The sequence below is a fragment of the Homo sapiens genome, chromosome 17 (genome assembly GCF_000001405.40).
Source record: "Homo sapiens chromosome 17, GRCh38.p14 Primary Assembly".
Taxonomy (NCBI): domain Eukaryota; kingdom Metazoa; phylum Chordata; class Mammalia; order Primates; family Hominidae; genus Homo; species Homo sapiens.
The window spans coordinates 38,574,024-38,601,712 of NC_000017.11; the positions used below are offsets into that span (position 1 = coordinate 38,574,024).

The 27,689-nt window shown below is 55.7% G+C and overlaps 1 protein-coding gene and 1 long non-coding RNA gene across 9 annotated transcripts in view, besides 6 other annotated features; one reads left to right on the top strand and one right to left on the bottom strand.

Moving 5' to 3' along the window:
• Positions 1–27,689, bottom strand: part of SRCIN1 (SRC kinase signaling inhibitor 1) — a 76,995-nt gene that overhangs the window by 43,993 nt on the left and 5,313 nt on the right. For 6 of the 8 annotated variants that reach the window (XM_017025169.2, XM_017025171.2, XM_017025170.2 and 3 more), the window contains exons 2-3: positions 4,467–4,768; positions 853–951 (exon numbers count right to left, since the gene is read on the bottom strand). In XM_017025169.2, coding sequence (XP_016880658.1) covers positions 853–951; positions 4,467–4,745 — 378 coding nt within the window. In that variant the 5' untranslated portion in view covers positions 4,746–4,768. The remainder of the gene's footprint in view (positions 1–852; positions 952–4,466; positions 4,769–27,689) is intronic. The other 2 variants (NM_025248.3, XM_017025172.2) reach the window with 1 other exon arrangement.
• Positions 4,369–5,090: an enhancer, noted in NCBI's record as "H3K4me1 hESC enhancer chr17:36734639-36735366 (GRCh37/hg19 assembly coordinates)". NCBI's record gives its function as "activates a minimal SCP1, AML or CMV promoter by ChIP-STARR-seq in naive H9 embryonic stem cells {active_cell/tissue: H9 hESC(naive)}" and the evidence as "EXISTENCE:reporter gene assay evidence [ECO:0000049][PMID:30033119]".
• Positions 5,091–5,818: an enhancer, noted in NCBI's record as "H3K4me1 hESC enhancer chr17:36735367-36736094 (GRCh37/hg19 assembly coordinates)". NCBI's record gives its function as "activates a minimal SCP1, AML or CMV promoter by ChIP-STARR-seq in naive H9 embryonic stem cells {active_cell/tissue: H9 hESC(naive)}" and the evidence as "EXISTENCE:reporter gene assay evidence [ECO:0000049][PMID:30033119]".
• Positions 17,883–18,464: an enhancer, noted in NCBI's record as "H3K4me1 hESC enhancer chr17:36748159-36748740 (GRCh37/hg19 assembly coordinates)". NCBI's record gives its function as "activates a minimal SCP1, AML or CMV promoter by ChIP-STARR-seq in primed H9 embryonic stem cells {active_cell/tissue: H9 hESC(primed)}" and the evidence as "EXISTENCE:reporter gene assay evidence [ECO:0000049][PMID:30033119]".
• Positions 18,707–19,677, top strand: LOC124903992 (uncharacterized). The gene is made up of 2 exons (XR_007065741.1): positions 18,707–19,236; positions 19,523–19,677. It is a non-coding gene; the product is annotated as an uncharacterized LOC124903992 (long non-coding RNA).
• Positions 18,757–19,258: an enhancer, noted in NCBI's record as "H3K4me1 hESC enhancer chr17:36749033-36749534 (GRCh37/hg19 assembly coordinates)". NCBI's record gives its function as "activates a minimal SCP1, AML or CMV promoter by ChIP-STARR-seq in primed H9 embryonic stem cells {active_cell/tissue: H9 hESC(primed)}" and the evidence as "EXISTENCE:reporter gene assay evidence [ECO:0000049][PMID:30033119]".
• Positions 19,259–19,758: an enhancer, noted in NCBI's record as "H3K4me1 hESC enhancer chr17:36749535-36750034 (GRCh37/hg19 assembly coordinates)". NCBI's record gives its function as "activates a minimal SCP1, AML or CMV promoter by ChIP-STARR-seq in primed H9 embryonic stem cells {active_cell/tissue: H9 hESC(primed)}" and the evidence as "EXISTENCE:reporter gene assay evidence [ECO:0000049][PMID:30033119]".
• Positions 26,193–26,487: a silencer, noted in NCBI's record as "tiled region #8854; K562 Repressive non-DNase unmatched - State 7:EnhWF". NCBI's record gives its function as "represses a minimal TATA promoter and a strong SV40 promoter by Sharpr-MPRA in K562 cells {active_cell/tissue: K562}" and the evidence as "EXISTENCE:reporter gene assay evidence [ECO:0000049][PMID:27701403]".

Consider the following 27,689-nt stretch of genomic DNA (forward strand, 5'->3'; position numbering starts at 1 on the left):
TCTCCTTGAAAAAGCCAAGACTTTTTGTCCTCTGGGGGAAGCAGGGTGTGTAAGGACCTGAGCACCCTGTTCCCACTGGATTCCCTGCCACTACCCCTCCTCCGCCTCCTACAGCTGAATATCCTCAAGTCAAGACCTCCCCTGGGCTGTCCCCTTCCCATTGCAACTCTGATGCCTATTTTGGGCCTCAGATGCCTATTTTTCTCCCATAGCAATGTCCAGGCCTAGCTGGGAGCCCAGGCCCCTGGTATCCTGCCTACATGTGTCCCTGTCTAAGCTAAGATCTATCTTCCCATAACGGACACTGAAGCCTGATGAGGAAGAGGGGAATAAGTTCAGAATAGATGGCTTGATGCCCAAGTCTTCTTAAAAATTAGAGACTAAGCCATGAACTTAGCAAGAGGGGTGAGAGAGAGACTTCATGCAGAACTTCCTGATGGTGGGACATCTGGGGAAGGCTGGATCTGCTCAGAAACGGAAGGGGAGGGTGTGGAGAGGGGAATAAGATAGTCCTCAGTGGGAGGAGGGCATAAAACCCACAGAGCAAGGTCAGGGGACTTCTGTTTAAAGGAGAAAGGGATACAAAAACTTTTTTAAAAATCCTGAGTATCTTCCCTCAAAAAATTCCTTCTCCAAAGTCAACCAGGCCTGAGGAGGTAGTGGCAGGGAATTAGACATCGGGCAGATGTGAGTACGGGACACAGAAGTCTCCTGAAAATAGGGGCTCCTACACCAAAGAGAAAAGGTTGCAAAATAAAAGTCCTGAACATCCCCCCTCCAAAAAAAAAAAATCCTCCCCAAAGCCAAACTCCACCATGGGCTTGGGGGGTGGGGTGGAGGTGGGTGACTCACCTGGGCCGGCTGGCCAGCCCCGGAGGGGGCGGAGTCGCCATGGAGGTGGGAGCAGAGGGAGCTGAGGAGGCATACGGGGTCCACGGTCCAGCCGCCAACCTGTGTGTGCGAAGCGGGGGACACCCCATTAGGGGAAGCGGGCAGGAGCCGCTGGGGTACTGTGATTGGGAGGGAAGGGCATTCCTGGGGCAAGCCTTGGCACAGAGCTCATACTGCAGAGGGGTCTAGCGATGCTGGCAAGTCCCTTATTTAGGCTGGGTATCTCTCTAACTAGAGCCCTGCTCTGTTTCTGGATGTCTGCTTTTCTGTTAGACCTGGGGGTTCCCTGAGCCCAGGGCAGGGCCTTCCCTATCAGACATTTCTGAAATTCTCATCTCCACTTTATTTTTTTTGAGACAGGTTCTCACTCTGTCTCCCAGGCTGGAGTGCAGTGGCACGATCATGGCTCACTGCAGCCTTAACCTCCTGGGCTCAAGTGATCCACCCACCTCAGCCTCCTGAGTAGCAAGGACTACAGGGGCAAACCACCATGCCCAGCTAATTAAAAACAAAAATTATTTTTAAGAGACAGCCATGTTGCTTAGGCTGGTCTCAAACTCCTGGGCTCAAGGAATCCACCTGCTTCAACCTTCCAAAGTGCTGGAATTACAGGCGTGAGCCACTGCGCCCGGCCTCATATCCAATTCTTGGCTGTCCCTCTGCACACTGGCAAGGAAGCTGCTCCTTACCATCTCCCCTTCCCCAGCTCTCATCCCCTCCTCACTAAAGGTGTCACACCTACCTCACAGAAATAGGAACCGCTGGGCAGGAGAAGCCTCCCCCCAGTTGTCTCTGTCCCACAGCATACCTTTCTTTCCTGTATCTCAGTGGAAGTGACTCCACCCCCTTCGTTCCCCAAGGCCACCCCACACCTAAGACCATCCTTCCAGATTCCTCTAGGACCTGTTTCCCGTGGCCTTCTTTCCCCTTGGCATCCTCAGATTCATTCCTCCCTCATTCTCTCATTCATTCCACAAACACTGCCTGAGCTGGCACCGTGCTTAAGCACCGAACATTCCATGGCAAGTGAACGGGCCATAGATCCTGCCCACTTACACTCTAAGTGGGGAAACGAATGAGTGAAAGAAGAAAGGAACAAATTTGTGGGTGGCTGGGCTTTGATTCATTTCCTAAGTATTTACTGAGTTCCAAACTCTGTGCTGGTGAACATGCTAGAACATAGGAGGCCCTTAGACATGCCTATGCCTTCTCTCCCAGGCCTGCTACCCCTGGAAGCTCCACCCAGCTGTTTTCATCCTTTTCCTGGCCCAATCTCCCCAAAATAAGTCTGTGGCTGGGGCTCCTGATCCTTCACCAATCCCAAACTCCCTAACCCATGAAATTGGCCATTACTTTACCACACCACGAGACACAAGCTCTCAATACCCTCTGCGCCCACAAATCCCGGCCAGTCGCGATGTCTGTTTCTCTCTCCCCATCCTTTGGACTTCTGAAGCTCTGGTCACCCTCCTGCTGGCCCCTTGTCCAGGGGCCTTTTTTCCCCTGGGACTTCCTCATGGATGTAGAACATTCCTGGTCCCCTTTCCCCAAACATCATGGGCTTTCTCCCTTCTTAGACCCCACTGTGCCCTGATGGCCACTCCGCATCCCAGGTCCACTTTGTATCTGCTGTGACCGTGCTCAACTCTTCTCCTGAAGCTGCAGCCTCTCTGGAGTCCTGAGTGGTGCATATGGTGCCTTAAGAGCATCCCCAAGAATGCCCTACCCACTGCTCAAACCCGTCTCTGTATATTCCTCTCCCTCACCCCCAAACATTTCCCTCCAACCCTCCTATTTCTCTCCAAGGCACCAACATCTCCCTGTCGCCCAGGTGTTTCTGTCATTGCCTTCTAGGTCCAGGCAGCTTAGCCTTAGACCTACACTTGGTCTTCTTCCAACCCCCATCCATCCATCCTTTCCCCTTCATCATCCCTGATACACTCTTCCTCTTCTCCTTCCCCTGCCTCCAGTCCCGCTTCTCCCCTCCTATTCACCATCCAAAAGCAAACACAGCCACCTTAGCCACCACCATCTGCCCCACTTTTTCAGTCAGCTCCCACACATCCCACTACCTCCCACCTGAGCCTTCTCGCCGGCCAGGTGGACCTCTGTGCCAGTTCCCAAACCAACTCAGGCCTATGCCCATGCCATACACCCCCACCACTCCTAAAACAACATTCTTTCCTTTAGGGCTATGCAAACCCTTTTCATCTTTCTAAGCCTGATTTAGATACCTCCTCCTGCAGGAAGCCTTCCCCGATCAGGCCTGCCTATGATCTTCCCTCCTCTAAACCCCGTCCCAACTGACTGTTCCCCTCCCCAGCTAGATGACAAATGCCCCTGCCCTTCTCCTCAAGCCAGTGCACACAGGAGGAACCCAATGAGAGGGGCTCCTTGAGGGTGACGGCAACATCTTCTTCAACTCTCTCTAATCCTGATCTGCATCCTGCTCCCAGAAGGACTTCAGAGCTGGGAAAAGGCAAAAGCCAGACGGAACTGGAGGTGGCACTAGAGGGCAGATAAGGTAGCAGAAATGTGCCAATGTGTCTTGTTCCCTGCAGTGAGGATGGGAGTGGGGACACTCCTCCCCATCCCCAGCTACATCCAGTAGAACCCGGAAAAGGGAGACAGGGACTGACACACCCCCAGGCTTGACTGAAAGGCTGCTGATGGGATGTGCATCCCTCCCCTCAGTCCCTTCACCCAGGGGTACAATGGCTGAGTCTCAGAAGCCAATATGCAGCAACCATGCAAGCGCCTCACCAATGCAGAACTGTACACAGGATGCTAGACCCAGAAAGCATGTTCTTACAGACAAGAAGCTCATACTTGGGTGGAGAGATGCATTCAGGACCCCGAGGTTCTGGGGGAGGTTTAAAAAGGAACCATCCCACTCGCTATAGAAGGAGACGGGTCCTGGTCTAGACACAGGCGCTGTGTCTCCTCTCTAAGCCCTACTGATGGCAGGAGAGATACCCAGGTACAGAGAGAGGAGGCCTCCAGCTCCAAGTCACCCAGCACGCCACGGGGTGGAACAGGGAGGAAAGAGGTCAAAGGCTCCCGTTCTGGGCTCCATTCTTGCAGGCTGCAGGAACTGGGGACACATCGGACCCAGCCTACTGAGGCTCTCAAGGCCCGACTCTCTCTTAGAGTCCATATCACAGAGGTGCCGACGACCCCAGCATCTCAACTTCACCACAGGATGGACTCTCAGGCACAGAACAACAGTCCCCAAGGCTGTCCTCCTCTCCTTTCCTCCCAGAAGAGTTCTGCCCAAACAGCCTGAGTTAAAGAGGCTGGGCTCTCTCTGCCCCGTCACACGCTCTCGATTTCCGGACTGCAGGCAGAGGTCTGGGGGCCAAGCCCCCACCCCCTTCCTCCCCAGGCTCCAGAAAAGGCCAACCAGAGCCACTGCCCTGGAGGGACAACTCCCCAACTCCTCCCCTTCTTCCCTCTCTGCTCCAGATGCCTCCCAGAGTTGGAATGAGCCTGGGGACACGGAGCACGGGGTCAGACCTCCTCCCCTGCCCGCTGGCCGCGGCCGCAGCCGCAGCCGCAGCCGGGAGCCCACTCACCTGCTCTCGCATCCTGTCCTGCTGGCCTCGCAGGGCCAGGGCGTGCTGTGGGTACTTGCTCTTCAGGTGGTCCATGAAGGCATCACGCTTGCGGTCGGCGTCCGCCTTCTGGAGCCCGCTGAGCGCCTCCAGACTCTGGGCCGCGATCACCGTGTGCCGCCGCTCGGACGTGTGCACCAGCCCCACGTTGGAGAAGCGCCGGCCCCCGCTGCCCCCGCCGCCCCCGCCCCCCAGGGTCCGGTACTCCCGCGGGTACTCCGCATCGTCCGCAGACAGCATGGGGGGGCTGCTCCGCTCCGGATCTGCGAGAGGTGAGAGGGGCACGGCTGGGTCACGGCGCGCCCGGCCTGGGGCTGCCCATCCCCCAAGGGGGTCCCTGCGGGAAGGGGCGGGGCCTGGGCCTAAGGAGAGTGGAGAGGCGCCCGGGGAGAGGCAGGGGCTGCCCAGCACCCCACTAGGGACTGAAGGGGGAAGTGCGTGGATGGCGTGGAAAGCGCGCCTACGGCCCCTAGGGAGGGGTGAGGAACAAGGGCTGGATACTCCCTGTTCCTCCGTGGGTTTGGAGCGATAATGACCGCGGGGGTGCAGCCCTTTGAGGCCAAGGGTTGGGGGTTTGGATGAAAGGGGTAGAAGGTATCCTGAGACCCTCTCCAGCCACACAACCCCCTCCCCTCCTAAAGCTGGTGCCAGCAGGTGAGGGAAGGAGGGGTGCTTTTTAGATGCTCCCTAAAAGACGTGAAAATGAGCTCGTAGTCTTCCTTTGAGGTTGGGGGCGGGGAGCCCTGCCTCCTCCCTCAGACTAGCATATGTCCAGGACATACTTATCCTCAAGGCTGGGCGCCGGCTGGGAAAAGGGCCAGGGCAGGAAGACATGGGGAGAATGAGGGCAAAAATCGCTCTCAGGTTTCCCATGGAGATGGAAGCCCAGCGTCTGGGGCAGTGGGACCCCTTTTCCCTTCCCTCCCCAGAGACAGACAGATAGACAGACAGGAGAGGCTGGGCACAGAGAGGACAGTGAGAGATGGATTTGGAACAAACTTAAAGGGAAAGAAAGCAGACAGAACAGCTGAAGTCCTTCCCAGGGGCTTTCCCCCCACCTCTCCCCTCCCTTCTTCAGTCTCTCCTCCCGACACACACACAAGATCAAGACCCATAAGAGACGTACAGGGGACAAAGGACAGCACAGAAGCAAAAGAAAGAGAAGGCCGGGGGTTGAGGTCCCACGCGGAACTCTGAATCCCCTTCCCAAATGCTCTCCAGCCCTGAGCTCCTGGCCTCCCCAGGCCCAGCCCTGCTGGCCCGCACTCTCCAGCTTCAGTGACCAGTGGCCAGGGGTTCCAGAGGTCACGCATGCCCCTGGGGGTGGAAGAAGTTGCTGGGGGCCTACCTCAGCCATATTCCTGGGCATAAAACATAGATTTGTGCCCCTCAGAAGTCAGTCCATAGGGAGACAAGCACAGCCTCTCCTGCACACCCCAGCCCCACAATCCACCAGCCCCAAAGCAGCCCTCCAAGTGTGGCCTAGGACTGGGGCATCAGGCGCTGCAGCAGACACATGCACTCCCGCCCCCGTGTGGCCTGACTCATAGGGCTCCTCCAAGGGCAGCCCAGGGCAACAGGGGACGCGGCTGGAAACGCTGGAAACCAGCCAGGTTTGCTACAAGCCTCCTCCCGCCAAGCATCCACTGTCAGGAGGTCTATGGACAGCTGCCAGGTCTGCCATCCCCTGCCCAGCCACAGAGGAAAGAGGAGATTCAGCCAGGTTTCAAGAAAAGCCACCTGCCCCCAACACACACACACACACACATACACACATACACACCCCTCCCTGGGCAATGGTTGGGTTGTGTCCATTAGGGGCACAGAGCCTGCGAGGACCCAGCACCTCCCACCGAACCAAGGGAAGAAGGGCTCCCATGGGCATGAGAGCCGCAGCTCACCAGGGCCTGACCACCTGCCTCATGGCTGCATGCTTCCTTCCCTACACCCCATCAGGTGGGTGTTATCATGGTCCCCATTTCAGAAATGGCTACTGAGACTCAGAGAAGTCCACTGACAAGCCTAAAGCAACACTGAATGGAAGAGGCCTGATTTGATCTCAATATTTATTACGTTTGTGCCACCACACTCTCCACGATGACTGTTTCTTGAGTGAACATTGACAGCACCACATGGCATGTGTGGACTTCCTCACTGACCTGCTGCTATCCCCAACCATGGCCCTGGGTCTTGGGTGGTCCCTCTCACCATGGTCACCATCCTCTGTTGTGCTCCCCAAAATAAGGTCCAAATACATGAGAGATGACTTTGGGAAGAACATTATTTTATGTCTTCTCTTCCTTCCTCTTTTTTTCTTTTTCTGGGGGGACAGGGTCTTGCTCTGGCACTCAGCTTGGAGTATAATGGTGTGATCATAGCTCACTGCAGCCTCAAGCTCCTGGGCTCAAGAGTTCCTCCCACTTCAGCCTCCCAAGTAGCTGGAATTACAGGTGCCTGCCACCACACCCAGTGAATTTCTTCCTTTTTTTAGAGATGGGGTCTTGCTATGTTGCCCAGGCTGGTCTCAACCTCCTAGGCTCAAGTGATTCTCCCACTTTGGCCTCCCAAAGTGCTGAGATTAAAAGTGTGAGCCGCGGACCAGGCACGATGACTCATACCTGTAATCCCAGCACTTTGGGAGGCCGAGGCAGGTGGATCACGAGGTCAGGAGTTCGAGACCAGCCTGACCAACATAGTGAAACCCCATCTCTACTAAAAATACAAAAAATTAGCCGGGAGTGATAGTGGGCACCTGTAATCTCAGCTCCTTGGGAGGCTGAGGCAGGAGAAATGCTTGAACCCGGGAGGCAGAGGTTGCAGTGAACGGAGATTACGCCACTGCACTCCAGCCTGGGAGACAGTGTGAAACTCTGTCTCAAAAAAAAAAAAAGAAAAAAGAAAAAAGAAAAAAAAAAGTGTGAGCCACCACACCCAGGTCTTTTTTTTTTTTTTTAAATACCTTTATTTTCATAAGGATTAGAAAAAGCCCCAATTAGAAGGTCAAACCAGTGATTTCATGGATATAGTTCCTTGGGATGGTAGTGAAATAAAGTTTCCTTTTAAGTAAATTTAAAGTTCAAAGTGAGCTAACAAAAACGTATATTGCATTAGTACAGTACAAAAGGTTTCCTGATATGATGGTAATTCGTGAAATAGACCCTGACTGAGTGAGACTGGGAACACTGGGGCCATCTTCCTGAGGGCCCAGTCCCTGTCTTTGAGGTACTTGTGGCAACCCACAGTGGCCAGAAGTGTGGCTAAAGGAGAGTGGCCTGAATAATGCCTCCATGAGAAGGCTGGGGGTTCCCTGGGCGCTGGAGAAATAGCTCCAACCAAAGTCAGAGGGTTGCCTCCCATAACCCCTGACCTTCCTCCTCCTCCACTCACCCTCACCACCAGCCAGAGGTCTGCAGCCCATTGGGTACAAGTGAGAAGGAGGGGACCCTCTGAGGCCAAGAGCCTTTCCTTTGCCCAGGCCTTGTGGATTCTGCCGTGGCCTTGCTGCTGGAATCCAGCTCCACAGTTCAGGCCTAGTCCTGCCTGAGCCAGAAGGACCCCTGCCCCTTATGCCAGAGATCCAGGCTCCTCTGCCCTCCTAGGGCTCAGGACAACATTGGGACAGGTCTCCAATTATCATCTCCCAGCTGCTTCCTTCCTGGAGCCAAAAGAGCTCCTCATCCCCTCTCTTACCCCCTCCTCATGCCAGCACCTCCTTCCCTACCTCCTGGGGGATCTCAGTGTGTCTGGGGTGGAGCAAACAGTGTACCAGCCTGAGATGAGTGGTGACTGTGGAGTGGGAGGGTCCCCAGGTCACCCAGTTCTCCCAGGCAGATTATGGCAGGGAGAGGTCCCAGCTCCCAGCTGCTGGAGCAGGCAGAGGGTAGGGCATGGAGCTCACAACTGCACTATATGACTGCAGTCCCACAAATCTCACAGTTGGCAGTGGGGAGGGGCTGCTGAGCAGCCTGCACAGACAGGGAAGCAGGGACTACCCCTCACTGCCTCCTCCAGGCCGTCGCTCAGCCCTCAGGTGCTCTGGCATTGGGGCTATTGGGGTGAGGCGGGCAGGAGCTAGATACTAAGGGGTGGCAGAGAGAGGGGAGGGGGCAGGAGAGATGATCTGCTCTCTCTGAGGGGCGGTGGCAAGGAGGAGCTTTGATGTGAAAAGCTTTAGAATCTGTTTAAGAACCTTTGAGATCCTTGGCTTTTATATAACAAAAAAGTAAGCTGAGGCTCGGGGAGAAGGGAACGCCTGGGTAGCCTAGCTGTCCTGGCTTCCTACTTTGTACAGATTTAACTTCTTTCTGCAGGGCCCCAGCTGAGCTGGGAGGATGAACCTGGGCTTCTGGTTGAGGGTGGGGGAGCATCCTGTCCTTAGGAGAGGGAAGCCAGTGACCAGCCTCCTGGGGGGGCTCTGAAGATTCAGGCATGATTTTAACTCCTTCAGCAGGCCAGGCACTTGAAATCAGAACACTGGGAGAGAAAAACCCAGGCCAGAGACACCCTGGGTGTCTTAGCAACTTTTCTGAGACCCCAGGCTAGCCATTTATTTATTTTTTGAGACAAGGTCTCACTCTGTTGCCCAGGCTGGAGTGCAGTGGCGCGATTATGGCTCAGTGCAGCCTCAACCTGGGCTCAAGCTAGCCTCCAGCCTCAGTCTCTTGAGTAGCTGGGACCACAGGCACGTGCCACCATGCCCAGCTTATTTTGGTGGTCTGTTTTGTTTTGTAGAGATGGGGTTTTGCCATGTGGCCCAGGCTGGTCTCCACCTCCTGAGCTCAAGCGATCCACCCACCTCAGCCTCCCAAAGTGCTAGGATTACAGGCATGAGCCACCACACACACCCAGCCTCATTAATTTACTTACTCATTCAGTCAACAAATATCTTCCCTCTCTGAGCCTAAGAACCTAATTTGTAAAATGGGGATGTTAACGTCTAAACTCTGCCTTTGGGCACTAAGTGAGAGGCTGGCAAGACAATGGTAGAGAAAGTAGGTTGTTTTCTTTTTTTCATTTTCTGTTTTTTTTTTTTTTTTTTTTTTGAGACAGAGTTTCACTCTATGGCCCAGGCTGGAGTGCAATGGTGCGATCTCGGCTCACTGCAACCTCTGCCACCCGGGCTCAAGCAATTCTCCTGCTTCAGCCTTCTGAGTAGCTGGGATTACAGGAGCCCACAACCATGCCCAGCTAATTTTTGTATTTTTAGTAGAGACGGAGTTTCACCATGTTGGCCAGGCTGGTCTCCAACGCCTGACCTCAGGTGATCCGCCCGCCTCGGCCTCCCAAAGTGCTGGGATTACAGGCGTGAGCCACCGCGCCAGGCCAAAGTAGGTTGCTTTCAATGAAAGACATTCCTGAGCAGCGATGGGCTTGTAGCAGCCTGACCTCCCTGTTACCCCTACGCCTGTTCCAGCCATCAGCAAGTCCTCGGAGTGGCCCTGACCCCCCTCGGACCTGAGCAGCCCAGGGAAAAGACACAGGGATCGATTCCAATCTAGCAAGCGGATCCAGGCACCTGCCAGCCCTGCACAGATCAATGCGTCCTGTTCCAGGCAGGGAGGGCATGAGAGACCCGGGCTGGGGTCTTAAGCATGGCTGGGTTCTGCTGGGAGAGGGATAGGGGCATTGCGATAGAGAGAGACGGAGGCAGGGAACTCTGGGGGAAGGGAAGCAAAGCTAGGATACCCTGGTGGAGGGGCGTTGGGCCTGAAGGTTCCCCCCAACCCAGGGATGGGGTTGGGGAAACCAGAGACATAAGGGAGGGGGCTCAGGGCTTCTCTTTTCTCCAAGGAACCTCAGTGTGCAAGGCTGACTATATTTTTTGAGTCCGAGATTCAAGCCACAGGGAAGATGCCAAGAACTGGCGAAATCCAGAATCCGAATGAGGGGAAGGGCAGGGTGAGGAAGGCGGGTTCTGCCACCCTCAGCTCAGCCTGCCCCGCCTGGGAAACGCGGAAGGTGAAAGTGGCCTGAGGCTGGGGTGGCCGGGAAGTGGCGGGCGCCCCCCAGTGGCCGGCTAGGAGGACGGCACAGGTGCTTGGGAAGAGTGACGTTGTCATTTGTCCGAACAATTCCAAATTCTACGTTTATTTATCAGCCTCATTTATTTTTATCCTCCACCACATTCTTTTACATGAGATCACTGTAACTGATTATGAGAATTAAGATCCCAACATCTTAGTGACACCATCTCATAAGCCACCAAGCCGGTCCCCAACTGGCATCTTTACCCCGGATGTAACCCTCTACTCTGTCCTCTGGCTGCCCCTGGGCAACATTCACACATGATGTCATCTGCAAAGGAGGAGAACGGGGAGAGGAGAGGAGAGGGAGGGAGAAGGAAGGAGAGAGGCAAATGGACAAAGTAGAGGAAGAACGAAGCCACCAGCTCAGGAAAGGGAGAAGAGAACTCTCTGGGGCCCCTGATGTGAGTCCTCCCCAGCCCCAAACTCAAGATCTGGAAATCAGGTCCCTGTAACCCTCTCTGTGGAGATAAGGAGGCTGGACAAAACCCCTCCCTTGGGGACCTGAGAGGCTGTCACATGTGTGCCCCGACCCACTGCCTGGGCAGGGGTAGGAGCTGGGTTATAGCCCTGGCAGGAAGCGAGGGCAGGAGGCACTCAGGGTGAAGACACCAACTCACAAGCCCACAGGACATGGGGCTAGGCAGGGCAGCAGGAGAGGAGCATGGAGACAGCTGGAAGGGTGGAGGACCTGCCTGCCTTAGGCCACACCCACACACACACACAAACACACAGCATGAGGCTCCCCCAGTCCCTCCTCTGCAGCCAATGCTACAGGAGCCCAAGTCAGCCAGGAGGAGCCCCGAGGCACTGCCACCTTCGATTGTGCATGATGACTCCATCCTGCTGGGTGCCTGCTGCAGTCGGGAAGCACACGGTGTGCTTGGAGGTTGGAGGCCAGAGGACAAAGGTCAACCGGGACCAGATATGTATCAAACTAGGCAGAGGCTCTGGGAACCCGAATTAGGAGAGGGGATCCTTTGCTTCCCCTGCTAGTGAAGGAATCGGCCTCCCTGTCCCTGGGTGCCCCTGGCTCTGCCTTCCTTGTGTGCCCATACTCCTCAGTTTCTGCTGGCTGGCTGTGGGTCCTTGGATCAGAAGCCCATCTGTGTCTGTTTTCTAAAACCATCTTTTCCGCCCCATACCACAGCAACCAAAGTCATTTTCCGGGCAATTGCCTTTCTGTAAACATTCCTGTGTAATATCCCCCCAAATTGCTAATACCCAGCGCCCTGTTGAGTCTCCCTGTCACTCCAACTAAAGCCTCGGAGATGAGGGCGTGTGATGGGGGAAGGGCGATGGGGGGAAGGAGGCAGCTGGACTGAGGATTGGAGACAGGGGGCTCCTGCCTAGCTCCTGGCACAGAGCGGGGGCCAGAAACTCTGCACCTCCCCACGGTGATCCCCACTCCCTGCCAGCCCAGCCCCACCCCCTGAATGTCAGGCTCCACTTCAGGAGAGTCTGCCTGGACTAGGAGGGAAGACAGAGAGGAAGTGGGAAGGGAGCCCACTGGACAGAAGGCCTGAGACAGGGCCTGGGAGGAGAAGGAGCTGAGTTGAAGGCATGGAGGAGATGGCTAGAAAATAAAGACTCCTGGTGACTAGGGCAGGGCACTAGGGACATGGGGCAAGGCCAGGCAAGTTGTCTTCAAGGAATGCCAGCTCCCCTCCCCACCAAGGGTGACAAGGAGGACAGAGAAGAGGGTCGAGGCCAGGGAGGATCGAGGCCATCCCCCCAGCGTGGGCCCTGCCCACTCCCTGGGCACTGTAGTGGATGGGGGCGGGGGGAGATGGACAAGGCAAGAGGTGTCAGGTGGTTCTTGGCAGGTGATACACCTGTTGTCCCCTCCTCCACCTCCCAGCCCTGATCTATAAAGCCACCATGGAGAAGGGTCTGGAGCAGGCTGATTCTCCTCATCATACAGCAAGGGAAACTGAGGCTCAGGGAGGTCGAGTGATCTAATCTGAGTCACCACATGGACTCCCTTCCCCAGGGGTGGGGGTAAGAAGGGGGACTAGGACTGTGGCCTATGACCCTGTGGTCTCTTCCATCCCCCTGCCCAGGGAATACTGCCACCCCCTTCCCAAGCTCCACAGAAGCTGGGCATCCAATGGGATGGGGGATGATGGAGCCCTGGAGGGAGCTGGGAGCAGAGGTGATGCAAAGGGCAGCTAGGGAGGGTGCAGGGCACTGCCAGTCACAGCTTTGTGTAGGCAGAAAAACACAAACCAATTTGTGCAGATTTAAAACCCACTGAAGGCCACTTAGTTGGTAAACGAGTCAGAATCTAATTAAAGGACCTCTTCGAGGCTGGGGGAAGGCACTGACACCTGCCTAGGAGGAGCGGTGAGGCTGGGGGCCTGGGCCCTGGCTGCTACTGGTGGAGCTGCTGGGGCTTTCCATGGGGAGAGCAGATTTGAGGGGGTCAAGCTCCCTGCGGGTGGGCACCCGGGGAGGGGGGCGGGCATCAGATGCTTCCCCAGCCCAGCTCTTCCTCCTCGCCCATCCCAGGCTGACTGTGTCCACTTGCACAGACCTGGGCACTCCCAGGGCAGGACCCTCACCTCCTCCCTCAGACTGGGGCCTCCCTTATGGCAGAAGGGCCATTCCACCCAGAAGGGCAGAATTGGGTGGGGTGAGGAGGCCCACCCACCACATCAGGAGTGGGGTGGGGTCCTGGGGACTCTCAAAGATCCCAGGCTTGGCCTCGGTGCCACCTCCACCAACTGCACTGGCTCTGCATGGCTATTGAGTCCTTGCTTCCTTCTGCTTGCAGCTGTCTCTCCCCCAGGGCCCCAGGCCACACAGCACAGCAGCTCTCAGACTCTGGTGGTGAGGTGGGGCCTCCCCTCAGCTCTCAGCTCTCGGGAAGAGGTGGCCCCCTCCTTACCCGTCCTGTGTCGGGAAACCACAGTGCTCTCTCTCCAGCCAGATGCCTTTCCTAGGCAGGAAACCAACACCCAGAGTACAAGCCTGACCCAATCTGCAGGAGCTGAAGGCAGAGCCCAAAGTGGAACCCAGGGGTCCTGGCCCTCAGGGACAAGGATTTTTCCATTCCACGATGCCACTTCCCAGAAAGCAGCTGCCTGGGGAGCCCCTCTCTAGGCCACGGGCCCCAGGAGGACACAGACTAACAACCTCCTTAGGAAGGATCAGCAGCAAGGCAGAAACACCGCAGCAGCCCGGCCGACAGGGAGAAAAGCTGGGGTCCATGGCCCAGTGATGCCCCCAGCCCAGGGGGATGCTCACCACACAGAAATCAGGGTCCCCGCAGGGCATCCGAACTGCACATTCAGACAAGACTCCCCATCCTTGCAAAATGTGCAAATCAGCCCCGTGCCCAGAATTCCAGATATACAACCCTCTTTCTTCCCCCTGCCCCTCCTCTTTCACACACAGCAGGCAAATCTGTGACATTACCAAAAACCACTGCATCCACTGACTAGTTATGTGACCTTGAGTAGGTCAGGGGATGCTCAGAGCTTCAGTCCTCTCATTTGCTTTAACAAAAAAAAAAAAAAGGAAGAAGAAGAAGAAGCAGAAGCTAATAACAGGCAACAGGCAACAGGCAACAGGCATGCAGACTGCAGAGCCTGGGTGAGCAGAGTCAGTTTCTTCTGATCTACCCCGGAGCCCGATTTCCTTCCACCCACTGTCAGAGTTGTATCAGACCCAGGACTGTGGGGTTGTGATTTTTGGCTTCTAATGAAGATCTGGCTAATTGGCTTCCCTGGGAAGGAAGGGGGCAGAGATATGGAGGGCAGCATGTCACCCCCAGTCTGAAGCTGGAGCTGGAAATGCTGAGAACAGCCCTGGCATGTGCCCACGCGGCACTATGTTAACCAGCTAACTCCTGTGTGGCAGCTCCACTGCTCACGCGCCCAGGGAAGGTGTCCTGTCAGCTCCACATCTCCTTGGAGAGGCAGCCGAGGGGAACACAGGCCGAGCGGGAGGGGAGGAGGGAACACTGGAGGGTGGGAAGGGAGGAAGGCCGGTGCCTGTCCTCAGCTCTGCCATCACTCTGAGGAGGCTGCCAGGGCGTCTTCTCCCCAGGGGGCACTCCAGCCTGAGTGCTGCGCCCCTCTGTGTGTGAAAGGGATCTTTCCTCCCTCCCTGCAGCTGCCTCAGGCTGAAAGCGTGCCCAGGGGGAAGCATATTGTTTCCAGGGGAAGAGACTCCAATCTGTTGGAAGTGAGTGGTGGAAGCCCCACCCACCATCCTGCCTCCCCACAGGGAAGCATTTTCAACACCAAGTACTCATCAACGGGCTCATCAATATTGGGCAGGAGACCCAGCCTTGCCAAGATGCCCTTGATATCCTCCTCAGAGACACCACCTTTCATGGGGACAGGCTCTCCCTAGGAGGCCTTGTCCCAGCCCTATGACCTAGTAGCACTCAGACAGCTCCCTCGGCCGCTAGAACCAGCAGGATTCCTCCGGGTTCCCAGCACACACTCAGTCGCCCAGGCACACACATCTGCTCACTCATGCTTCTACGTCAAACCTGTGCACCTCGGCATGCGCCTGGCTGCCCAGTACTTGCTCACTGACATGGGCCCAGTCACAGCCTGCCTCACCAGCACTCTCCACCTGACCTCAGGTGATCCACCTGCCTCGGCCTCCCAAAGTGCTGGGCTTACAGGCGTGAGCCACCGTGCCCAGCCATGATAACCACTCTTGAACACCCACACGTATTCATGACAGTCTACATGCAGGGGTCTACATACCTGGGCCCACCAGGGTGCCCCACTCTGCCACCTTAGATGCCACGCAGACAGGGAGAATGTCATGCCAGTCCACGCAGCTCATGCAGGGCATCTGGGGCTCGCTAAAGCGCCAGGTGGATGCATCTCCAGCTTGGGGTGAAAGACAGTGGGGACTTGCCCATCCTGAGTCCCTCATGGAGGCGACATCTTCAGCTCCTTTTCCACTTTGCCAGGTTCGGGGCTCCCTTGCTGAGGTGTTTACACAATGTCTTAAAATACAGGAGTCAGCCCAGTAACCTCAAGGCCACCTACTCTGACCAATGCTTAGCCAATGGGGCGATGTTCATGAGTGAGACCCTCCTCTGGGACCTGGTTGCCTCCAGCCCTCATTCCACCTCTGTAGGTGCTCAGCGCCTCCACCAGGGCGAGGGGGCCGGAGAGCCTCTGCCCAGCTTCCAGCTCTGCTGATGGGGAAGGACAGGGCTGCTGGGACCCAAGGCTTAGCTCTCACCTCATGGGTTAATTTCTCTGCCACCCTGCAAGCTAGCTAAGAACAAACAGCCGAATCTGCAGCCCATGATTCTCTCTCCCTAGGGACACCCTGTTAGTATCCCGAGAGACTCTGGAGGATGGGGCGAGGGCAGCCCGGAGTTCACAGTTTGGAAAAGGCAGGAGACTTGGCAAGTCGGCTTGGCCTCTGGGTCAGGCAGTCTTTGGAAGCCAGGGCCTGGTCAGATAGCAGGGGCATCTTGTGGAAGTTCTCTTTGTTGTCTAACCTGAGCTCTCCCATCAGAGCAGCATCTGGGAATGTGGAGCACAGGCTTCAAGGCAAGGAAAAATAAACTGTCTCCCCTTCTGCGAAAGACACAAAGACTCCCACCCTCCCTTCTCCAATCCACACATCCATCTTGAGTGACGAGGGTTAAACCCAGCATCGGGCTTTCTGGAAGCTGTGGGAAATATGGACCAGCCATGAAATGATAACCACTCTTTTTCTTGAGACAGTCCTGCTCTGTCGCCCAGGCTGGAGTGCAGTGGCACAATCTCAGTTCACTGCAAACCCCTCCTCCCGGGTTCAAGCAATTCTCCTGCCTCAGCCTCCCGAGTAGCTGGGACTACAGGCCCGTGCCACCACACCTGGCTAATTTTTGTATTCTTAATAGAGACAAGGTTTTGCTGTGTTGGCCAGGCTGGTCTCAAACTCCTGACCTCAGGTGATCTGCCCGCCTTGGCCTCCCTAAGTGCTGGGATTACAGGCATGAGCCACTGCACCCAGCCATGATAACCACCCTTGAACACCCACACATATTCATGATGATCTCAAAGGGCTCGTGCAGCCATCATTCTCTTCATTCTCACAGTCACCTTGTGAGGTTGCAAACCCCCTATTTTACAGGTGAAGAAACTGAGGCTCAGGAAGGAGTGACTTGTCCAAGGTCAGAGTTGATAAGTGGAAGAGGCTGATCTCAACTGCCGGGGTGCTTAGCCCATTAGCCCATGTCCTTCTTCTTTCCCCTACACTCTGTTGCCCCTGAGGAAGATGCTGATTCTGCCACCAGGTCATCTGTGAGTACTCATCTAAGCCATTAGGCCAGAGCCCCACAGGTCCCCTCTGTCCTTCCTACACCCTAAGAAGAGAACGCTGAAACAACCCTCCTTCCCAGCTAATCTTGGGCGCCATCCACCCAGTCCTCTTGGGGGGGCCTATTCCCCAGGGCTGGAGGAGAGGGAGGAAGCAGAGCCACCCCCAGATCACAGAAACTTAGGCTGGAAGTGGGGGTCCCACAGTCCTGAAAGACCTTCTAGGGGATCCACCTTTCCACAGCCCTACTCGTAGCCTTCTTGTACCTATGCTGGATACGAAGCCCTCCCAGCCCCTGCCACAGGCTGTGCAGAGACAGAACTGCAAATCAGGAGCTCCAGCCAGTCAGGTCTTAGATACTTCCAGGAAAGGAGAACTCATTACATCCAAAGCACCAATCATCTTGTGGGGTTTCTCCTTCCTTAACATGAGCCACAGTCTGTGCCCATGGCCCTCAGGGGAACCTGGGGGAAGGTCATGACCTCTCCCTTTGGAGCAGAGTGGAGGCTCCTGAACCGGAACCTTCTGTCATAAGCCCTCAGGTCCTTCCTGTGTGGCCCAGCCCCCCAGCCATCTGCACCACCCTTTGTTGGGTAATCCCCATGTCACCACCCCTCTTGGCTGCTGGCCTTCAGAACTGCTCTAATGGTCCAGATGAGGTATGAGCAGCACAGGTGACTCCTCTCTGCTTCTGTTACTAAAGTGCCTTCGCTAGTGCCCCTCCTGCCCACACAGCACATGTGCCAGGAAAAACAAATGCTCAGGGCCTAAGAGCGCTGTTCCAGGGCCAGAACATACCTTCCTTGCCTCCTGCTCCTAACGCTCAGGCCTCCCCCAGCCTCAGACCTCAGGGGGCCAGCCTGACTCCTCCTGCCTGGAAGGGGTGAAGTTCCTGGCCCAGTCAGCTGAAACTGCTCCTTCCAGTCACTTCCATTTGCTTTCTGGTGCCTGGCCTTGCTAATGTCACTTAAGGGGTCTGGTCTGAATCTTAGCACCTCCCAGCAACTATGCCCCTCAGAGCCCCAGCTCCAGACACCAAAGGGTGTGCCCAGGAGTCTGAGTGGGCAGCCCGCTCTGCCTGGAATTCTCTGGCTAGTGGCCTGAGGCCCAGGATGCCCCTGTCTGGCAGCCAGTCACTGTGAGAAGTGGAAAACCACAAGCCCACATGATAATATCTGAGGCATATTAACCACACAGTGCTTCCTCCTTGCTAACCTACTTCCTCCTCCCTGCCCTGCTGCCAGAGGGCCCCAGGCTTGGAAGGAGAGGCTCCCCCACCCTCAGCTGCTTCCCTGCAAGTGCCCCGTGTCTGCATCCCATGCTTGCGCAGTGGCTAATTCTGGTGTCTCATCAGACAGTAATTATGGGGGAATCAGCAGTGCCGTCATCTCTGCAGCTCGGCACCTGTCACCACGCCGCCATCCCCAGGCTGCTGGGATGGGATCGGAAGCTGAGGGAGGAGGGCTGTGCTGGGGTGAGGGGCATCTGCACCCTTCCAGCCTCTGCAGCCCTCACTTCCCTGCCCTGCCTCCCCAAGGTGAGCAGTGCACCTCAACCAGGTGGTCACCAGCCACACAAGTGCTCCCTGTTACCCGGGACAGGTACTGAAAGCAGGTGACATGTGTCCCATGTATGCATCCCCATGACCAAACAGAACAGGCAGAAGGACACAGCAAGCCAAGGCTCAAATCTCACCTTGGCCACTTCCCATATGTGTGACCTTGAACAAATCATTTCAGTCCTCCAGGCCTCAGTTTCCCCAATGGCAAAATGGAAAAAATAGTGCCTCCCTTGTGAAGATGGGAAGAAATAAGGTGTGTAAAGTATCTAGCACAGTGCCTGGCACATGTGTCATCATGTAGTCATTCAACAAACAATTCATACACAGCTACTTTAATGTGTTAGGCAATGTGGGGATGCCAAGATGAATGAGATGATTTAGCAAGGATCACACTGTGGCTACACTGAAGCACAGGCTTTTTTTGTTGGGGGGGTTGGGGGGCTGGTGGTGTTTGGTTTTATTTCTTTGAATTTTAATACCTCTAAGGAGCACAGGAAGTGAGGTAAGGAAGGGAGGGCTGCAGAGGCTGCAAGGCACCCCTCTCCTCACCACAGCCCCCACCATTCCCTATCATCCTCATGCATCGCTTCCCTCATTTGCTGTCCCTGAAGGTACTGAGTTTGCTGCCCCCACAAGCAAAAGTAGGCTAGTGGGCTTAGTTATGTCCAGAACTGGTGATTGTTCAAGAAAGGTTACATTAGGAGCCACCAGAGGTTTGACAGTGCTCTGGGAGATCGGAGGGGCGAGCCCAGAGGCGGTTGTTGGGGAAGGGCATTTCAGGGAGGAGCAGGAATGGGAGGTGATGAAGAGGAGCTGAGCCACAGAGGCAAAGGCCCACAGGGAAGAGGCCAGACCCAAGGTGAGCTGCTGGGGCCCCCACCTGGCTGCAGCACGGACTCCTCAGGAGGAACAGGGTTGGGGAGGAAGGTGATGAATCTCAGTGTGAATTCTCCATGGCGCTGGGCCACAGAGGAGCCCTGCTGCCAGAGTGCAGAGAGTGAGGAAAAGGGGCACGAGGGAATGGGGCAAGACCCATACAAAGCTTCAGGTGAAGGCGGAGGGGAAGGGAGGGTGTAGGGCTGAGGCTGCCCTGCTAGAGACTGGGACTCTCTCTCTGACCTCAGGCATGCTACTTAACCCCTCAGGTCTGTCGTCTCTTCCCCCACAAAACAGTCAGCAGCAGTGAGCTCACAGGACAGTTGTGAGGATGAAATGAACTAACACTTGTACAATGCACAACCCAGCATCTGGCTCCCAGGAAGCACCCAATAAATACTGGCCATCAGTGTTTTCATTATTACCAGTGATGATTTTTTTTCTCAAAACTCAGCAATGACTAAATGAGCCCCATCCCCTGAAAGCCCACAGAGGGAGCACAGGTCTCTTCTAACCAAAACCAGAGTCAACAGTGAGGGGCTGACCCCGGTGTCCACTACCATGGTAGCCTCCTCCCGACTCCCACCCCCTACACCCTCACTAGGCATTGCAATACTCCTTCATAGCACTTTTCCAAAACCCATCCACATCTTATTCCACTCTGGCTGGTAAAGCCAGGACGGGGCTGCTTCACCTTTTTACGGAGGCAGAAAGTAAGTCTTGTAAGGTACTGAGCTCCCCATCACTGGGGGTATTCCAGAAAAGGGTGGGTGAAAGAGAAGAACATTCAGGTCTCAGAGGCCCTTGCCCTGGCCCCCTCTGCCTGGTTCACTGCCCCTGAGCCCACCCTGCAGGCTGAGCCTTGGCCCCTCTGCTGTTTGTGCAGGGAAGCGGGGGTAACTCACGCGAGCAAGGAGGGAAAGGGCTCCAATCTCAAGTCTCTCCGCGTTCTCCTGGCTTCTCCCGGCAGCAGCCAAGGATGGGGGAGGGAGGGGAGCAGTGTCGTTGCTCTTTTAGGAAAACGGTAATTTTAATTAAGAGGCAGACAAATGAGCGCTCTGCAGATTGTCTCAGAGCAAAGTTATTAAAAAGCCATCAAGGCGGCGGCAGCCACGGTGGCAAGGAGAGCTGCCTCCCCCAGCTGCCCACCCAGATTGTAGCTGAATAGCAGTTCAGAGAGCTGGAAAAGGGCTGGAGGACGTGGAACCTGAAAATAGCCCCTCTCCTAAGAAGGCAGGGCAGCATCCAGATAGTACCCAGGGTACAGCCTGCCCAACCCTGGGCAGCAGGTGGGGACGCAAAGGGCACCTGCAATTAGGCAGCCCCTGCTGTGGGCCAAGTCTGGGCCCATCACTACTTTTTCTTTACTCTTCTCAACAATGCTGCCTGGGAGGTGTTCTTGTACCACTTTACAGGCACAAACACTGAGGCTCAGAGAGGGAAAGTGGCTCGTCCAGGCTCACACAGCTAGGAAATGGCTGAAGTGGGGGTTTGAACCCAGGGCAGGCTGACTCTCAAGTCCAATGCTCCAGGCTGCTGGTCCTGGGCCCAGATTTTGGGGGGCGGCTTCCCCTGCCCATACACCCTCCTCCAGCCGGGCTGTTTGATGTCCTCTGAAACAGCCTCAGGAGCAGCCTAATGATGTTGCCCTTAGCCATCAAGGTCACTAGGGACTTGGAGGCCAAGTAACTGCTTGCTTGGCAGGGGCACATTATGAGAGGACACTCTACAGGGACATAAAGTTACAAAACAGCTTCCAGCAGGGGGAACAGGGGCAGATAGACAGAGGACAGGCCCCCACAGCCAGGATATCTTCCAACTCTTCAACCTCTACTTGCTCAACACTTAAGCAAAGCATCCAGGAACCTATCTGCCTTGGTTGCTGTTAGACTCTGAGCCTAGCCCAGTGCCTGGCACAGAGAAAGTGTTCAATAAGTCTTTCCCCGCCGCCCCGACCCCGAGATGGAGTCTTGCTCTGTTACCCAGGCTGGAGTGCGGTGGCGCAATCTCGGCTCACTGCAACCTCTGCTTCCCGGGTTCGAGCAATTCTCCTGCCTCAGCTTCCTGAGTAGCTGGGATTACAGACACCCGCCACCACACCCAGCTAATTTTTGTATTTTTAGTAGAGACAGGGTTTCACCACGTTTGCCAGGCTGGTCTCGAACTCCTGACCTCATGATCCGCCTGCCTCGGCCTCCCAAAGTGCTGGGATTACAGGCGTGAGCCACCGCGCCTGGCCTTCAATAAGTCTTTATTGAATAAATGGATGAATAGATAAACAAGCAAACAATTGAATAAATGAAACGAGATCACAAGTTTGCATGTGACTGTAAGCTAAACAAAATGGTCCCATCTTCTCCCATCCCCCACCCTCTGGGCATCACTGGAACATGGGCTTCCCCCCATAAGAGGTGCCCCTTGCTCCTGACCCCTCTCCCCAGGCCACAAGCCCCCTCAGCAGAGGATTCCCGCCTCTTCTCTTCACCCCAGCCCTAGCTTACATGGCGGCTTTGCAGCCTGCACACACATGTACATGCACGCGTGCTTGTACACGCACACTCACTGACATGCACACACGTGCACATACAGACATGTTCTCTACCAGCCAAAGTGCCCCCCCCAGAGTCAGGTATCTGCTGCCCCCTCCCCTGGCAAAGGCTGGGCCCACCAGGGATAGCCCCCTCTCCGTTTCTGGCCCTCCAGGCTGGGGAGGAGCATCTGACTACGGAGAGCTGGAGAGCTGGCAGGAGGAGGAATCGTGGGGGGCCTCCCTCCTCCTGGCTTACTAACCTGGAGACTTTAAACAGAGGGAACAGAGTCCTGGAGGCTTCCCTCCCGCCGCACGCTGGAGCCCTGGGTGAGGGACAGGAAAGGAGGAAAGTCGTGAATGAATGCCCAGAAAGGCCCGGCTGCAGAGGAGCTGGAGAGAGGAGGGGGCCGGGGCAGGGGCTCCCAAAGTGGGCTAGGTCAGGGGCAGGGCCATGGGCCATGGGGTTGGGGGAGGTGAAGCAGGTACAGAGCAAGGCAGAGCCTTAGGAGCTCTCCCTTTGGGGCCCCCCAGGGCAGACAGGATAGAGATTGGGTGTCATAGGAAGAGCAGGGACTGAGGGGGTAGAGACACTGGTGGGAGACAGACAGGGGGACAAACAGCAGGACAACACAGAAAACATGGGGTCCCCAGAACTGGGTTCCCAGGACAGACAGCCAACAAGCCATGCCTGGTTCTCCACCCAGAAACAGGGGCAGACACTTTACTGAGGTGCCCAACCTAGACCCCAAATGATAGCCCGCCTGCCTCCTTCATGCCAGGTTATGCCATTCTGGAAGGTTGATGGGTTCAGGGTCAGAGAGGCTTGCCATCATTCCCCTGGTGACAACCCTCTCCCCAGCCTACGAGACCCCCATCTGCTCCACTCCCCACTAACCCTGAGAATGCCCAGCTTCCCCTGCCTGTGTTAGAGGAGACAGGCATTCCCCACCCAAAAGGCACTCATAGGTTCACACTGTGCTAGGAGCACAGACCTGCCTGAAGTCCTTCACCTAGCTACTGCCTCCACACCCCCAACCCTCAACCTGCCATGGCAGGGTCCCCTACAGCTGTCCACCATGCCCCACCCTTTAGAAAGGTTAGAAGTCCTTTCTAAACCTACTCCACCTCCCTCATGCTGCAATACCTATTAGCCTTTTACCCTGGGGCATGCAGCAGTTAAGACCCTTCCTGCCGGGAGACACTGTGGCCAGCACCCACTCAGGCACAGCCCTCCCTGGGCTGGCTCAGACCCATCCATACCCACAACACGTCTGGCTACAAGCATTCTCAGAGCCCCCTGCCAATCTCATGGTTCCAATTTTCCCACCGATTACCTAAAACATCGACATCCCAGGGAGAAACAGCTGTTGGGACACGGACTGGGAGAAAATATTAAGAATGCTCATTGATGTGTCTAGCCCCAGAGAACTTCCTGGATGAGGCAGTGGGAGGCACAAAAGTGAAGGCTTAGGAGCTCCAGCTTCCTTCTTACCACCAGCCCTAAGTGGCAGCTCCAGGGGCCCAGCCCCAGACAGGCTGAGGTGAGGATCTGGGTTTTCAAAAAATCTAAAGAGGTTTCTTATGTATGCCCTTTTCTCAGTGGAGAGTGGGCCCCATTCAATCATTCAGTCAGACAGAGGAAGAGGAGGAAGATAAAGATATGACTATTTATTGAATGTCTACTATGTGCCAGGAACTCTGCCTAAATTACCTCATATAATCCTACTACCCACTCTGTGAGGAAGCCAGTGTTAATGCTCTTGATCTACAGAGACAGAAACTGAGCTTCAGAAAGGTGAAGCAACTTGCCCCAAACCACACAGCAAATGACTGTCAGGGCTGCGATTGCAGCCCAGAGCTGTCTGACTGTAGACCCTAAGCTCTTGACCCAGGAGCTAAACTGTCTCCTATCCACTCCCACCCCTCTCTCAGTCTTTGGCTATCTTCCTTTTGGTGGCCTCTGGGAAGTTCTGCCTAAAGAAATTATCTCCTATGGGCAATAAGGTAGAAGAGAAGATTTCTCTTCGGCTCTGCCTCGTCCTAAGAGTGGGAGGCAGACTGTTCTAACCCCAGGCTGCCAGTGGACCAGGAGGGGGTGAGCCATCAGGTTAAGGAGAGAGGTGGGTCTAGGTTTTCCTGAGCTTTATCTTTAGGTGACTTCTGCCTCTCTAATAGCCCCTTCCTGCCCCTCCCACTTCCAGGAGAGAGGAAGCTCCAGGAAGCCCCGCACAAGCCCCTTCACGTTTTACCAACCAGAAGTTCCCATAGTGCCCAGGTAGAGGAGAGCCCAGAAGTTCTGGGGTGGACAAAGTGAGAGTCTGCGGCAGTCCCCACAGCCCTTGCCTCTGCACAGAGTCCTAACTTTCCATGGATAAGGGGGCTGGGGACAAGAATGGGGGACTCATCAGGCCAGCCTGGTCACTGGGTGGGGTGGAATAGGCAGCAGACAGCCCAGGAGAGAAGACAGCAAGGCCCATCCCAAGGGCTTCAAGGAACCATGGAAGGCCTTCCCTACGAGCTGGGGTCATTCATTCTTCCCATAAGAAGCAGAGGCTGGTGTCTGGAGTGATGTCTGCTGCGTATGCAATTATCATGCATCCTAGGGGTGAGGGGAGACTGCAGAACACGTCCCCCCCGCAATCTCCCCAGCTCTGCACAAGCAGAAACAGCTAGGCTCTTTCTGTGGGGTCTCTGGGTCTGGGGTCTCTCTATAAGCTGAGTCTGGGGGCCCCTCTATGGGCCCCTGGGTCTGGGGTCTCCAGCATGCTTTGCCAGCTGGAATGGAAAAGAAGCCAGTGCCCTGGAATGCGTGTGTTTGCACAGGTGAGGAAGGCAGGCATGAGAAAACCCAACTCCCTTCCAGTCTTGGGTTACTCCACATCAGGACATGCAGGCAACCGAGGCAGGTGGCCTGGGCTACCAGGAGCCAGGATAAGGCTGTGGGGGAGCTGAGCCACCAGCTTGAAGTGCCTTGTGGGAGAAAACCCGAATTGGATTATAGTCCCCGGATGGAATGGAGTGTGGCAAAGCCAGTTCTGCTGGGGTGGGAGGAAAACAGTGAGTTTAGAATTCAGAGGACAGCTGAATCCTCTAGCCACTCCCTTCTCCATCCCCTGGGCTGGGAGGGCAGATGTAGGCAAGGTGTGCCTTCGGAACAGGAGGGGGCTGTCTGTAAGGCATGAGTGTGTGTGTGTATGTGTGTGTGTACGTACGTGTGTGTGTATTCCAATATTCTCTTGGGCCAAATCCCCATTTTTTTTTTCTTAGCTTAAGCTGGGAAACAGTCTTCCCACCCTCCATGTGGCAAAGCAATATTATCTCAAGGGAGAGGAGGTAGAGAGAGCCTGGGAGCTCTGGAAGGGAGCTTGAAGGTCCTCTAGTCCCACCCTCTTTTCTTATACCAAGGACACTGAAGACCAGAGGGGGCAACTAAATTGCCAAGGTCACACAGCAGTAGGGGAGACAGGCAAGCTGACTCCAGCCCAATGCTTGTTCTTTACAATTTACTTCTTTGCCCTAAGGAGCAGAGGAGCAGCTTCTCTCTTTCTCCTCCTCTTCTCCCTCTCCCGGAGCACTGGATCCCTCCCCAGCAGGGTCCCCTGCACTCTGGCAACCACACCAGCCAAACTCTTCAGGATGCCCAAAGTTCATCTGAAAGGTCACGCTGACCAGTCCCCTGCCGCTAGGTCCAACACTAGTCTACGGGTGCTCACAGACCACCGTCATTGAGGTGAAAGATGCAAAAATACCACTGGAGCCTCCCATCCTGAAGTGGCCACACGCTGGGAGGTTTATCTTCCTATCTAACCTCGATTCCTCCTACTACAGCGTGGGCCTGCTTCCTCTCAAGCTGTCCTATGCAGAGATGGAGGCAGGGGGAGAAAAGCAGGTTTCCAGCCTCCACACCCTTATGTTTGCCCACCCCCAGCAGACAGGATGAGGGCAGGGTGTCCCTGGGTGGCTGGGCCCAAGCCCAGTGCATGCGTGGGGCCCGAAGGGTGGGATGAGGGAACAGCAGCCTGGGTATGGGGGAAACAGCTCTTCTAGGAATCGCCCCTCCAAGTCCTCATCCTCTGCAAAATCCTAACTAAGTCTCAGGCTTAGACTTCTCTAAGGATTATTATCTTCTCTGGGTTCAGAGATGTCTGTCCCCTATCCCCTCATAATTGATTGTTTATTATCCCAACAATAAGTTGATTGTTTAGTATATGTCCGGCACTGTGCGGGATGTTTTCATCTGTTGTTTCATTTAATCTTCACAATTCCAGGATCAGAAACGAATCTGTCCCCTGGGACCATCCTTCCTTAAGACTAAGTCTAACCTTGATCTCTCTTGCTGCATTTCCTCTGGCCCAGTCCTCCTTGGTGGCATTTTTGTTCCTGTCTTCAGAGACTCTTCTCATGACTCAGTGGCCTACATGATCTTTTTCCAGGCTATCAACCTTTACCCAGCCCTGCCCCAGGACGGGGTAGATATGTAGGTAAAAGCGACCAAGGCATGCGAAGAGGCTCTGGGGGAGGTCCCCAAAAGGTCAGGCAGGGCTGTTGGAGGTACGGGCAGGACTAGGGTGGCAGGCTCTCCTCCCTCATAATGTCCATGACCCCTGCAGGGGGCCTGGGCCCCATCTTCTGTGTGGTAGCTAAGAGGGCCCAGAGAGGCAATGAATGACCTAGTCCTTCTCACTGACCATCTCTGAGGCCCAGGTTTCAGCACACACATCCCCAGAGCCCAGGGGAATGGGCAAAAGCAGGCAGGGGCACAAGGGCAGGACTTGCCATGGGTTGAGCCTGGGAGGTGAAGCCGGAGGAGGAGCTCTGACACCTGGCTAAGCTCCCGGCAGAGGGCTAGCAGGCCCTGGAGGGTGCACAGCCTCAAGCCCCTCTGCCGGCTGCAGTATCAGGCCTCCGTGGGGTTCTGCACACCCCATCCTAGCTAGCCACAGGCAACTTTGGTGAATTCACCCACCACTTGGCTTCTCTGTTTTGACCTTTTGGAGCAGAAGTGCTGAGGGCAGGGGTCCCCTCGACTACAGCCATCCCCCCAACCCTGCCCCCAGCATGGCTGGAACACAGGGGCCAGACTCACCTCCCCAGGGAATGCTCAAGCCCAGCTTTCACCCCTCTGGGAAATCGGAGCAGCAAAAGCATGGGCCAATGGGCAAGGGGAGTTGGAATGGTGGGTGGGACTCTGGGCCGGGTGTGGGCGGCACCCTCCCCCTTCAAGCAGGCACCATTAATATATGCAAAGCATATGCAAATCACCCAGAAGAGAGACACAACACCGCTGGAATGTCACAAGAAACCTTGGAGATCAGCCAGCCCACGCCCCCTCATTTCACAGGTGAGGAAAGAGGCCCGCGCTGGGATGGGACTTGCTCAAGGTCACGCAGACATCTGGGCACTGAGGAAGGATAAGAATGAGCTCTCTTGACTTAGTGCAGTGCTTTTTCCACCAGGGTCTTGTCTTTCTGCTGGGGGGTTTATAACATTGCAAAGGGGCCCCAGGGCGTGGATGGGGCTCCAGGCAGGCCCATCAGAGACATGGGTGGGAGATGGAGCTGAGAGGCTTCTTGGATGCCTCCCTTACCGCCTCTGCACCTGGAGATGGTCTGGTGGGTGTGAGGGGCAGTGCAAGGGCAGCATAGCACCTGGGGGGCCGCGCGGTTGGAGGGGCGGGAGGCTGGAGGTAGGCAAAGAGAAATATGAGGGGCAGGGCAGAAGAGCAGGGAACCTGGGGTGTTTGAGGCAGGGGAGGAAGAGCCCAATGTCAGGGCAAGGTGCCTGCTGTGGTGTGGGGAGGGGGATGGCGCCCTCAACACATACACACACACGCACACACACACACACGCTCGCGCGCACACACACACACACACACATCGCTAAGTGCTCTGCAGCCCTTCCTGGAC